Source organism: Homo sapiens, chromosome 17, assembly GCF_000001405.40.
Source record: "Homo sapiens chromosome 17, GRCh38.p14 Primary Assembly".
Taxonomy (NCBI): domain Eukaryota; kingdom Metazoa; phylum Chordata; class Mammalia; order Primates; family Hominidae; genus Homo; species Homo sapiens.
Genome location: NC_000017.11, coordinates 40,241,518 through 40,255,519, shown reverse-complemented (window position 1 = coordinate 40,255,519; position 14,002 = coordinate 40,241,518). Strand labels below are relative to the sequence as shown.

The 14,002-nt window shown below is 43.9% G+C and overlaps 1 protein-coding gene and 1 pseudogene across 9 annotated transcripts in view; both read right to left on the bottom strand.

The window, feature by feature from the left end:
* The window catches only part of WIPF2 (WAS/WASL interacting protein family member 2), a 64,833-nt gene that overhangs the window by 28,617 nt on the left and 22,214 nt on the right, over positions 1-14,002 (bottom strand). Inside the window, exon 1 of one of the 9 annotated variants that reach the window (XM_047435496.1) lies at positions 6,518-6,962. The exons of the other annotated variants lie outside the window; for them this stretch is intronic. The gene's annotated coding sequence lies outside the window, so the exon portion shown is untranslated. Of the gene's footprint in view, positions 1-6,517; positions 6,963-14,002 lie in introns of those variants that run through there. 9 annotated transcript variants of the gene reach the window in all.
* On the bottom strand, positions 12,203-12,297 carry RNY4P8 (RNY4 pseudogene 8; annotated as a pseudogene).

Genomic DNA, 14,002 nt, shown 5'->3' with positions numbered 1-14,002 from the left:
AACCCTGTCTCTACTAAAAACACAAAATTAACTGGGCATGGTGGCACATGCCTGTAATCCCAGCTACTCGGGAGGCTGAGGCAGGAGAATCGCTTGAACCTGGGAGGCAGAGGTTGTTGGGGTGAGCAGATGTCGCACCACTGCACTCCAGCCTGGGCAACAAGAGAGAAACTCTGTCTCAAAAAAAAAAAAATTTAAAGATGGGTGCTCCCTGTATTGTGCAGGCTTGTCTCCAACTCCTGGCCTCAAGCAATCATCTCACTTCAGCCTCACAGCTGGGATTACAGGTGTGAGCCACCATGCCTGGCTGGCCCATATTTTTAATTGGGTTGTTTTTGCTTTTTTATTGTTGAGTTTTAAGAGCTCTTTGTATATTCTGGATAACAGTCCTTTAATAGATATGTCTTCTGCAAGTATTTTTTCCCAGTCTGAGGCTTATCTTCTCATTTTCTTGATTTTTATAACCTCTTAAAAATGTAAAAATCAGGCCGGGCACAGTGGCTCAAGCCTGTAATCCTAGCACTTTGGGAGGCCGAGGAAGGCAGGTGAATCACCTGAGGTCAGGAGTTCGAGACCAGCCTGACCAATATGTGAAACCCCATGTCTACTGAAAATGCAAAAATTAGCTGGGCGTGATGACATGTGCCTGTAGTCCCAGCTACTCGGGAGGCTCAGACAGGAGAACTGCTTGAATCCGGGAGGTGGAGGTGCAGTGAGCCAAGAAAGTGCTACTGCCCTCTAGCCTGGGCAACAGAGCGAAACTCTGTCTCAAAAAAAAAAAGGAAAAATCATTCTTAGTTTATGGGCCATACAAAAACAGGCTGTAGACCAGATCTGACTTATGGGCCACAGTTTACCAACATCTGGTATAGTCACATCCCTGGAATCTGACAGCCATTTATCAGATCACCAAACACTTAAAACTCAAAAACTATATAGTTGCCCCTCTATTATAGTCTGCAAGTAATCCTCATTTTACAGATCAGACTAAAACCAGAACTCAAGAACAATAACTACCCCCACAAAGCCATTTTAAGGAAATCCCATTTTTTGACCCCCTCCCCCCAAAAAATGGAAGCCAAAATAACATGGCCACCATGAGTACAACTTACAGATGACAAGAAAGGTTCAAGATGGTAACCAACCTCACCAATCAATCCATGGAAGAACTGCTTCTAAGCAAGGTTATTAATAAGATTAGGAGGCCAGGCATGGTGGCTCATGCCTGTAATCCCAACACTTTGGGAGATGGAGAAAGGAAGACGGCTTGAGCCCAGGAGTTCAAGACCAGTCTGGACAACATGGTGAAATCCCATCTCTACCAAAAATACAAAAATTAGCCCGGCATGGTTGTGCACACCTGTAATCCCAGTTACTTGGAAGGCTCAGGCAGCCGAGTTGCTTGAACCCGGGAGGCGGAGGTTGCAGTAAGCCCAGAACGCACCACTGCACTCCAACCTGGATGACAGAGTGAGACTCTGTCTCAAAAAAAAAAAAAAATCAAACCAGCATGGCAGCCCACTGGGAAGGCCTGGTTCTGAACTCCTTACATGGGTGACCAAAACCTCTCTGTCAATAATGCAGTAATTTAATACTTCTCTCAATGCTCTGGGAATGATGAAAGGAAAGGGAAATTTTTCCAACAGTTCTATAAAACCAAAAACCACTGCAGGAGAGTAGAATTTGATCAGAAATGAGACAGTAAAAGTCTTCAAAATCCCAACTCCTGCCAGTGTGATGCCACTATAGGCTGGCTGCCCAACAGAGCTATTTCCTCTAACCACAAAAAAATGGACAGTCCTCAGGCTAAGTGGTTCCTGTGGGGAATGGTGTCTGTACTCACTTCAAGAAATAAGCCGATAAATTCCCTCCAAGGGAAATACCTTTTTATTTCTGCTTTCAAAACCAAGGGCAGTCTTTCTTTGCCAGGCGTTTAACATACGAGGCTTTAAAAATTGATCGAAACAGTAAATCATAAGCAGAACATCTATCACCAGGTGGGGGAAAGGAATTTAAAATAAAGAAAACACAAGAAGTAGAAAAACCAACAAACAAAACCTTTCTTTTCTTTGCATCCCCTGGGTTTACTGTGACCATTCCATTCCAAAGTGCCCACAGCATTAGCAAAGAAAGCTAGTAGGAAACAAAGGGGAAAATAGGCCGGGCGCGGTGGCTCACGCCTGTAATCCCAGCACTTTGGGAGGCCAAGGCGGGCAGATCATGAGGTCAGGAGATGGAGACCATCCTGGCTAACACAGTGAAACCCTGTCTCTACTAAAAATACAAAAAATTAGCTGGGTGTGGTGGCAGACACCTGTAGTCCCAGCTACTTGGGAGCCTGAGGCAGGAGAATGGCGTGAACCTGGGAGACGGAGCTTGCAGTAAGCCGAGATCACACCACTGCACTCCAGCCTGGGTGACAGAGTGAGACTCCATCTCAAAAAAAAAAAAAAAGTCCAGGCGCGGTGGCTAATGCCTGTAATCTTAGCACTCTGGGAGGCTGAGGCGGGCAGATCACCTGAGGCCAGGAGTTCGAGACCAGCCTGACCAACATGGAAGAAACCCCATCTCTACTAAAAATACAAAATTAGCCAGGCATGGTGGCACATGGGATTACAATCCCAGCTACTAGGGAGGCTGAGGCAGGAGAATCGCTTGAACCTGGAAGGCGGAGGTTGTGGTGAGCCGAGATCGCGCCATTGTACTCCAGCCTGGGCAACAAGAGCGAAACTCCATCTCAAAAAAAAAAACCAAACAAACCAGGGAAAATAACAGTTGATTCAGAAACAAACATTTTCAACTAATTCCAGTCACCAGAGGTCCTGCCTTTTTGAGGAGGTTTCTAGTTTTTTTTTTTTTTGAGACAGAGTCTCTGTTGCCTAGGCTGGAGTACAGTAACATCATCTCGGCTCGCTGCAACCTCTTCCTCCCAGGTTCAAGCGATTCTCCTGCCTCAACCTCCCAAACAGCTGGGACTACAGGCGCATGCCACCACACCCAGCTAATTTCTGTATTTTTAGTAGAGACGGGGTTTCACCAAGTTAGCCAGGCTGGTCTCAAACTCCTGACCTCAAATGATCCTCACGCCTCGGCCACCCAAAGTGCTGGGATTACAGGGGTGAGCCACCATGCCCGGCCTGGGTTTCTAGTTCTATCAGCCATTGGCCATTGCCATAATTGAAAGGATCTCCTAGAATGACCCAAAAAAGACTCAGACAAGTCCTTTACTCTTTCCATGTCCATAGGTGATCCAATCTCCGTGCTACAAGGTGAATAATGACCTAAAAGGAACAGCCTTATGCCTGTCAGTGTGCTCCACTTATTTAAGCAAAGCAGGAATTCTCTAGCATAGCAATTTTTTTTAAGCAATATATTACACAGTTAAAGATGCCTTCCTAAAATAGACTCAATTCAAACTCTAATTGAAAAACAGATTCATCAGTGGCGCTTGCCTATAATTGCAGCTATTCAGGGGGCCAAGAAGGGAGGATCACTTGAGCCTTTGTTTTTGGATCCAGCCTAGGCAACACAGCAAGACCCCTTAAAAAATTAAGTACATAAAAAAAGTTAAATCAAAGAAACACCATCTATATCAAGTGACTGACTTTAGTGTTGACTACCAACAGTGGCTCTCAAGCTTTCTTCTGGCTCCACAGGGATTGTATGCATGACACACTCCTATCAATGACATTTATTACATAATGATGTATTATCCTTCCCATTTTATGGTGAGGACACTGAAGTCCCAGGAGTGGGAGTGCCTACATGTACATGAGAAAAACTGACTCATCAAAGGGCAACTGCCCAAGATCACTCAGGAATAAAGTGCAGAGTTAGGCCTCATATCCAGGTCTCCTGACTTCTTCCTTTTCACTAATCACTATGGAGAAAACAAACAAAAAACTCCCCTGGAAATTAGTGTGGTTTAGCAATTTTCTATTTTTCCCCAAATGAAATTTAACTCATTCCAAATTTCTTAGTTATAGAATACAAACAGTTCTCTATATGTTTCCAAGAACAGCCCCATTTAGGTGAATTCAAATTAAAACAACTTTCCTTTCCCTGAAAAACTCCCAAAAGAAGCTTTTTGTTTACATCAAATTAGGACTGAGACTTATAATCGCTAATCCAATGCAGAGGGTCTGCTTTGAGAACTACTTTGAGTTAAAAAAAAAAAAAAATGAACCAAAACAATTCATAACATTTGACAACAGAAAGACAAATTTCACTAACCAACTGTGATTAATCAAAGGACAAATTTGAGCCTTCTGGAAGCACTGTCTATTGCAATACTAAGAATCTAATAGGCTGGACGCAGTGGCTCACGCCTGTAATCCCAGCACTTTGGGAGGCCGAGGAGGGCGGATCACAAGGTCAGGAGATTGAGACCATCCTGGCTAACACAGTGAAACCCCGTCTCTACTAAGAAACATAAAAAATTAGCTGGGCGTGGTGGCGGGCGCCTGTAGTCCCAGCTACTCGGGAGGCTGAGGCAGGAGAATAGCATGAACCCAGGAGGCGGAGCTGGCAGTGAGCCGAGATTGCGCCACTGCACTCCAGCCTAGGTGACAAAGCGAGACTCAAAAAAAAAAAAAAAAAAAAAAAGAATCTAATAGCTAACGTGTACTGGCACCATCATAGCTCACTGTAACCTCAAACTCCTGGGCTCCAGTGATCCTTCTGCCTCAGCCTCCCGAGAAGATAGGACTACAAGTGAGCACCACCACGTGCAGCTAAGAATCTAATGGTCTTGAGGTTAAACCTGAGATTAAATTTAGAAAAGAACAAGAAGGTTCTCTACAGAATTTTAAGTATTTCCTTTCTGATCTATTAAATTAGAACTACAAACCTCACCATCTGTGCTCTTCAGAGACCTTGACTTTCAGAAACATCTTGAGGCTGCCTCAAGTTCGGAAACACAGTAATTCTCATTCCTTTCTTAAGCCCTTCCATCTTAAAAACCAAGATAAAGGCCGGGTGTGGTGGCTCACGCCTGGAATCCCAGCACTTTGGGAGGCCGAGGTGGGCGGATCACAAGGTCAGGAGATAGAGACCATCTTGTCCAACACGGTGAAACCCTGTCTCTACTAAAAAAAAAAAAAAAATACAAAAATACAAAAAATTAGCCGGGCATGGCAGCGGGCACCTGTAGTCCCAGCTACTCAGAAGGCTGAGGCAGAAGAATGGCGTGAACCCGGGAGGCAGAGCTTGCAGTGAGCCGAGAATGCGCCACTGCACGCCAGCTTGGGTTGACAGAGCGAGACTTTGTCTCAAAAAAAAAAAAAAAAAAAAAAAAAAAACATGATAAAATTCGCTTTGCACATCCTCAGGAGTCAATATCTTAAAAATAAACACCAGAGAGTATTATTTAAAATCTTCCTGATGTCCGGTCCAGCAGGGTGGCTCAGGCCTGTAATCCCAGCACTCTGGGGGGCTGAGGCGGGCAGATCACAAGGTCAGGAGATCGAGACCAGCCTGGGCAACATGGTGAAACCCTGTCTCTAGTAAAAATACAAAAAATTAGCCAGGCATGGTGGCAGGTGCCTGTAGTCCCAGCTACTCCAGAGGCTGAGGCAGGAGAATTGCTTGAACCCGGGAGGCGGAGGTTGCAGTTAGCCAAGGTCACGTCACCGCACTCCAGCCCAGGTGACAGTGCGAGACTCCATCTCAAAAAAAAAAAAAAATCTTCCTGATGTCAAATTCATCACAGAATTCAGAAATAAGTCTTGATAAAACTCAAGTAATGCACTTTTAAAAACTGCTTCCTGGCAGGGTGCGGTGGCTCACACCTGTAATCCCAGCACTTTGGGAGGCCGAGGCAGGCAGATCACCTGAGGTCAGGAGTTCAAGACCAGCCTGACCAACATGGAGTAACCCTGTCTCTACCAAACATACAAAATTAGCCGGGCATGGTGGTGCATGCCTGTAATCCCAGCTACTCGGGAGGCTGAGGCAGGAGAACCGCTTGAACCCAGGAGGCAGACAGAGGTTGCAGTGAGCCAAGATTGCGCCATTGCACTCTAGCCTGGGCAACAAGAGCGAAGAGCCATCTCAAAAAAAAAAAAAACTGCTTCCTTCTATCCATCTTTAAAAAGACAAAGCCTATTTTTCTATTCAATTTCCTAATGTTTCACTCCAAATATTCCTACATTTTAAAAACAGGAGACTTCCTTAGTACAAAGACACCAACTACTACCCTTTACACGTGATAAATGAAGAATCCAGTTTAGTTCTTGCTTTTCTCGTACACTTAAAATTATCTAAGAGGTATCCTAGTTACCACTACAATCTGGGGCCTTTATTCAAATGGCATTCTGCTGCTCTAAAACTCAGGTTTCAATTGCAAGTTATTTTAAAAAGACACGAAAATCAAGAAAAATTCTAAATCTTAATGCTATCTTCTATTTTCATGCCTCAGGTAACAGTACTTTCCTTTGATCTCAGTTTTGACTACAAAGTAAATTACAGTTTTTGTATCAAAGCACTGAACAAAATCCCAAAAGGGAAAAAAACTGACCTTAAAAAAACAGGCCACCTCCCTCACTCAGCAAAATCTTAAGGTCCCAGTCCTTCCTTACAAGAATCAGTCATATGAATAGGAATCTGAGATATCAAAAAGAAAATCATCTTTATTTCTTCAATATATGTTTAATTACTTAATATCCTAATAAACCATTTCTCAATACAAAGAAACAGAGATAGGTAAAACAAATTTCAGGATCCTCTCTGAAAAAACCACAACAGCTTTGACTACTCTATCTCCCAGATAATCTAAGGAGAAGACAGTTGTGTCTTCAAAAGAAAAAGATTCCAGACACTCCTCCCTAATGGAATTCTTCTGATCCCATAGTTCAAATCAAATGAAATCTCTCTAACAGCATCAGAGATGAAACATAAATGTTTGGTAGAAAGAGAGTCAGGCAGGGCATTATGGCTCAAGCCTGCAATCCCAGCACTTTGAGAGACTGAGGCAGAAGGATCGAATGTGCTTAGAGACCAGCCTGGGTAACAAAGTGAGACCTTGTCTCTATTTAATAAGAAATATTTTTTAGGCCAGGCACAGTGGCTGACGCCTATAATCCCAGCACTTTGGGAGGCCGAGGCGGACGGATCTCTTGAAGTCAGGAGTTTGAGACCAGCCTGGCCAACATGGTGGAACCCCCATCTCTACTAAAATTATAAAAAAAATTAGCCAGGCACGGTGGCGGGTGCTTATAATCCCAGCTATTTGGGAGGCTGAAGTGCGAGAATCACTTGAACCTGGGAGGCAGAAGTTGCAGTGAGCCAAGATTGTGCAACAGCACTCCAGCCTGGGCAACAGAGAGTCTCAAAAAAAAAAAAAAAAAAAAAAAAAAAGAAATAACTTTTAAATTTTTATTAAAAAAAAAAACTGATGTATCAGCTTTTCACAACCTTTCAATACAACAACCAACCCCAAGAACATTCACATCAAACAAAAAGTTCAAAATGACCAAGTCCACTTTGTATATTTTTCAACCAGGTTTCAGACAAAAATAGAATTAACAGCAAGAAACCAAAGACAATTGCAACAAATGAAAATAAGTAAAAATTGAATGGGTAGGTTTTGTTAAAACTGGATTCTAAATTCGACAGCAATTTCACCCATTCTGATAAGTATTTAACAATTACTAACTTAACCCTATGGTGGCCCATTAGTATCAATTTAAACATTATCCTGAGGCTGGGTGCACTGGCTCAGCCTATAATCCCAGCATTTGAGAGGCCAAGGGGGGTGGACTGCTTGAGGTCAGGAGTTTGAGACCAGCCTGGTCAAGTTGGTGAAACCCCATCTCTACTAAAAATACAAAAATTAGCCAGGCATGGTGGCAAACGCCTGTAACTCCAGCTACTCGGGAGGCTGAGGCACGAGAATCACTTGAACCCAGGAGGTGGAGGCTGCAGTGAGCTGAGATTGCACCACTGCACTCCAGCCTGGGTGAAGGAGTAAGACTCTGTCTCAAAAAAAGTAAAAAAAAAAAAGGCCAGGCGCGTTGGCTCACGCCCGTAATCCCAGCACTTTGGGAGGCCGAGGCAGGTGGATCACTTGAGGTCAGGAGTTCGAGACTAGCCTGGCCAACATGGTGAAACCCCATCCCTACTAAAAATACAAAAATTAGCCAGGCTTGGTGGCACGCACCTGTAATCCTAGCTACCTTGGGAGGCTGAAGCAGGAGAATCGCTTGAACCCGGGAGCTGGAGGTTGCAGTGAGCTGAGATTGTGCCACTGCACTCTAGCCTGGGCAACAGAGCAAGATCCTGTCTCAAAAAAAAAAAAAAAAAAAAAAAAAAAACCCTGAAATAAGAATTAAATTTTCGAGGAACATTTCATACACCTATGTCCATTTTAACAAGCGAGTTGTTTTTGTGTTTTTGTTTGTTTGTTTTGAGACGGAGTATCGCACTGTCACCCAGGTTGGAGTGCAATGGCACGATCTCGGCTCACTGCAACCTCCTCCACCTCCCAGGTTCATGCAATTCTCCTGCCTCAGCCTTCCAAGTAGCTGGGATTATAGGCGCACACCACCACACCCGGCTAATTTCTTGTATTTTTAGTAGAGACGGGGTTTCACTATGTTGGCCAGACTGGACTCGAACTACTGATGTCGTGATCCGCCCACCTCGGCCTCCCAAAGTCTGGGATTACAGGCATGAGTCGCCACGCCCGGCCAACAAATGAGTTCTTAAGCACAGACAGTACCATATCTTTCTAGGGTTCTCTCTCATTATTCTACAGCATACCGTAGCTGCTCAGCAGTCACTTGCTGAATTGAACAAAAGTAAATATAAGAGTAGCACAGGCCTAGCCAGGCGCAGTGGCTCACACCTGTAATCCCAGCACTTTGGGAGGCTAAGGCAGGCGGATCATTTGAGGTCAGGAGTTCAAGACCAACCTGGCCAACATAGTGAAACCATCTCTACTAAAAATACAAAAATTGGTTGGGCGTGGTGTCAGGTGCCTGTTATCCTGGCTACTTGGGAGGCTTGAGGCAGGAGAATCGTTGAACCCAGGAGGTGGAGGTTGCAGTGAGCCGAGACTGTGCCATTGCACTCCAGCCTAGGCAACAAGAATGAAAATCAGTCTCAAAAAAAAAAAAAAAAAAATGAGCAGCACAGGCAGGGCACGGTGGCTCACGCCTGTAATCCCAGCACTTTGGGAGGCCGAGGCAGACAGATCACTTAAGGTCTGGAGTTCGAGACCAGCCTGGCCAACGTGGTGAAACCCCATCTCTACTAAAACACAAAAATTAGCTGGGTGTGGTGGTGCGCGCCTGTAATCCCAGCTACTCTGGAGGCTGAGGCAGGAGAATCGCTTGAACCCGGGAGGAAGGTGTTGCAGTGAGCCGAGATCACGCCACTGCACTCCAGCCTGGGCAACAGTGAGACTCAGGAAAAAAAAAAAAAAAAGAGTAGCATTGTCTAAAAGAGCAAGCAAGTCTGGGTGGAGGAAAATGCAGCAAGGAATGGATCAACATGCCAGAAACAGAAAACAGACAGAAGAATGGAGATATCTATGAAAAGAGGAAAGAAAGAAACACAAGGCTATACGTGTTGTTCAATGCTCCAAAAAATTTTAATATGCTGAATGCACTCATGCATCCATCATCCAATTAAGTATCCACAACTTAACCACTTAATAAATATTGAAGCACCCACTGAGTGCCAAAGTATTTTTCTAGAACAATGGCTCTCAACCAGGAGGGATTTTGTTCCCCAGAGTCATTGACAATGTCATTGACATATTTGTCACAACTAGGGTAGGGAGTGCTGCTGGCATCTAGTGAATAGAAAACAAGGATGCTGCTCAACATCCTCCAACGCATAAGACAGCCGCCCACAACAAAGAATTATCTGGTCAGGACAGGTGCAGTGGCTCACACCTGTAATCCCAACACTTTGGGAGGCCGAGGCGGGTAGATCACTTGAGGTCAGGAGTTCAAGACCAACCTGGCCAACATGGTGAAACCCTGTCTCTACTAAAAATATAAAAGTCAGCCAAGCATGGTGGCGGGCGCCTGTAATCCCAGCTACTCAGGAGGCTGAGGCAGGAGAATCACTTGAACCCGGGAGGTGGAGGTTGCAGTAAGCTGAGATCGTGCCACTGCGCTCCAGCCTGGGCGACAGAACGGGACTCCATCTCAAAAAAAAAAAAAAGAATTATCTGGTCTACATTGTCAACAATGCTGAGGTTGCTAAGCCCTGTTCTAGAAGATGAGCAAGACAAGCGTCTACTGTCTTGGAGCTTACATTCTAGTGTAAGAAGGAAGAAATAAAATCTCAGTATAACAGTTACTGATAAAAGGAGTAAAAAAAACAGAGAATCATAAAGGTAGAGTATAGGAATAGACTGGAATGTTCTTTTGTTTTACTTATTTATTTTTTAGAGATAGATTGTCCAGACTATGTTGCCTAAGCTGGTCTTGAACGTCTGGGCTTAAGCAATCCTCCAGCCTCAGCCTCCCCAGTAGCTGGGACTACAGCTGCCCAGGTTAGAGTCTTCCTTTGGATAGGGTTGCAGGCTTCAGGATCTAGGAGAATTTAACCACGACAACAACAAAATAGTAATAATAATGATAAAATAATACAGTCACAGGGAAAGGGCCATTGGGGGAGAGTATCTGGCTCTCCCAAGAAGTCTCTCCATGAGCAGAGCATGCCATGTAAACATCTGGGGAAAGAGCATTCCGAAAAGAAATAACAGCAAGTGAAAAAATTCTAACATGGGAATGTAGTTGGTGTGTTAGAGAACTAGTAAAAAGACCAGGATAGCTAGAACAGAGTGAGAAGAGATGAAATCTGAGGCTTTATATATAGGCCATCCTCCAAATCCAAAAGTAGTCCCCTTCTCTGTCCAATACACCAACACTGTAAAACCAAAGAAACCTAAATGAACCGACAGCTTCACACTCAAACCAGAAGTTCGATCGGTTATCTCATTAATCCCACAGACTATACTTGATCTCCTGGCTTAATCTCATCCAGAGACTAAGTACTAACTGAAGGCCTTCCAGGGTTAAAAGTCACCTGTTGGTAATCTGCCCACCTGTTCAGCTGTCCTTCAGCTTTGCTCCTGAAAAGCAATCCAGCATGGGAGGTAGGAGCTCATTACTACAATGGCATAATGGCATCCAGTCCCTAGGCCAAAGAACCCCAAAATGAGAAAAGAGCCAGGAGCTGCCTAAGAGTAGTCACATGCCACTCCAGGAGCCAACAACGGCAGGAACCAAACAGGTTCCTATAATCACACAGGGAATAATGTCAAGAGGAATGAAAAACTTGCCTCCATGTGTTCTAGGACAGACTATAACAGAGGGTTTCCACTAAAGTGTTTCTGGTTTCTCTAAAGTACAAGGAAACAGACTAGAATAACATTCATGTTACACACATTTTACCACTACCACTCCAAAAAAAGGCTTTTTCTATAGCTCACAGCCCTCTCCTCTCAATGGAGAAAGTGCCACCACTTCTTGAAATTCAATTCAGTCAAACCTCTGGTGAAACAGATTTCTATCACATGTAGAGATGGAATTAATTAAAATTCCAAGGTTACTTAAGGGAAAAAAATTTTTCAACTACAGAAATTTTCATCACAGAAATTCAACTATGCAGCAAATCTGACTGATCCAACAAGTAATAAAAAAAATCACATAACCATCATGAATATTAAAACTGAAAAATCGGGCCGGGCGTGGTGGCTCACTCCTGTAATCCCAGCACTTTGGGAGGTGGAGGTGGGTGGATCACCCGAGGTCAGGAGTTTTAGACCAGCCTGGCCAATACAGAGAAACCCCATCTCTACTTAAAAAAAAAAAATACAAAATTAGCCGGGTGTGGTGGCGTATGCCTGTAATCCCAGCTACTCAGGAGGCTGAGGCAGGAGAATTGCTTGAACCCGGTAGGCAGAGGTTGCAGTGAGCCGAGATGGCACCATTGCACTCCAGCCTGGGCGACAGAGCAAGACTCTGTCTTAAAAAAAAAAACCTGAAAAATCCTAGGACTTCTACAACAAATGAAACCTGGATGTTTTACTCCTCTCTGAAAGAGAAAATGAAGGAGGAAGAAGATATAACTACTGAATGATGAAATTCTTTCAAACATATTTTTTTAACAAAAACATAATGCATCCCCAAAACGCAGCTTTCCCCACTAATGTGACTCTTTCCTCTTCCCCCAGATTTTTTTTAAAGCCAGTCAAATTTAGCAGTGGGGGGTTTGTATACCAACTGCAGTGACACTAATGTTAATAAGCTCTGATAACCCACTACCATCAGACCAGCCCCAGATTATTTTTTTAAAGCCCTAAAAATGTAAATTCGGAAGACTACCTTCATATACTACCTTATGTGGTAAATATTAGATACTATGGGTTATTCCCAGATACAAGGCAGCCCAGGAGCTGAGTCCTCTCATCTAAAATGATGACAAATCAATGAGAAGTCTACTCCTGTGTTCAATTAAATAACCAGAGCTGCAAAGAAAGCTTCATTTAAAAAGACAGACTAGGAATAACTAATGCAAAAGCCATGTAAATTAAATATCTGAAAATCATCCAAAACAGAAGTCAGGGAATGACCTCACGCCCAACCCCTCAAGGCAAAGAAAAAATCTCATTATCCTGAAAGCACTGAAGTACAGCACTGGGAGATAGGCGGACGTGTACAGAAAATAGTCAACTGCAGTAAATCAGTAATAGTTCAAAGTCATGCCTTATAACACAGCCAGTGACCAATAATCAATGAGACAATAACACTTTCGATGTAGCTTTGTTTTTGTGACTTTGTTCATCAAAACTGTTTCTTGGCCAGGCACAGTGGCTCATGCCTGTAATCCCAGCACTCTGGAAGGCCGAGGCAGGTGGATTACCTAAGGTCAGGAGTTTGAGACCGGCCTGGCCAACATGGTGAAACCCCGTCTGTACTAAAAATACAAAAAAATTAGCCAGGCGTGGCGGCGGGCGCCTGTAATCCCAGCTACTCGGGAGGCTGAGGCAGGAGAATCACTTGAACTCGGCAGGCGGAGGTTGCAGCGAGCTGAGATTGTGCCACTGGGTAACAGAGTGAGACTGTCTCAAAAAACAAACCAACAACAACAACAACAACAAAAAATTTCTTGGTTTTTCTTTCTTTCTTCCTTGAGAAAGGGTCTCACCCTACAACCCAGATTGCAGTGCAAGTGGCACAATCACAGCTCACTGCAGCCTTAACCTCCCAGGCTCAAGCAATCTTCTCACCTCAGCCTCCCGAGTAGCTGGGACTACCACATCCAGCTAATCGTTTTATTTTGATTGCAAAGACAGGATCTCACTATGTTGCTCAGGCCAGTCTCAAACTCCTGACCTCAAACAATCCTCCTGCCATAGCCTTCCAAAAAACTGTTTCAATGGAAGTTGTAAAATTGTATTACAGCTATTTCTATAGAGCTGCTCATCTTAGAATGCAAATCAACTCTATGTCAGAGCCAACATGGCCTCCTCAGCTGTATTTTAGTTAATAACAGCCACAAGATTTCCAAGAACTGAGAACTAGGGTACCACAGTTAGCCTCTGCAACACTGCTAAGACAAGTACTATTTGGCTCTTAACCTCTAAGCAATTCACAACCAAGGAGCAGCTGCAAACACATTTCCAGATACTTTACAGACTGGCAGCAAAAGATACAACCCTTTTTCTTTTCTAGGCGTAGGAATCTATAATACAAAAGGGAGAATTGTGTCCTTTTGATTGTAAAGTTAAAAACAAACTTCAAATCACAGTGCTTCAACATCTCCAAAAATGACGCTGCATAAACCCAAGGCAGATTAGGACATCTGTTTTCAAAGCCTGAGTCAATTTTCCATTTCACCAAAAACACTGATTCCTGGACTTAGTAAATTGGTGCAGAGCAGCTCAATGTTCATAACTAGTATTTCCTCCCCTGTACATCCCAGGAGCGGGTTTAGAGACGCTGACTAAAAAAAATGAAGTCACACAAGCCCAAAGTTATTA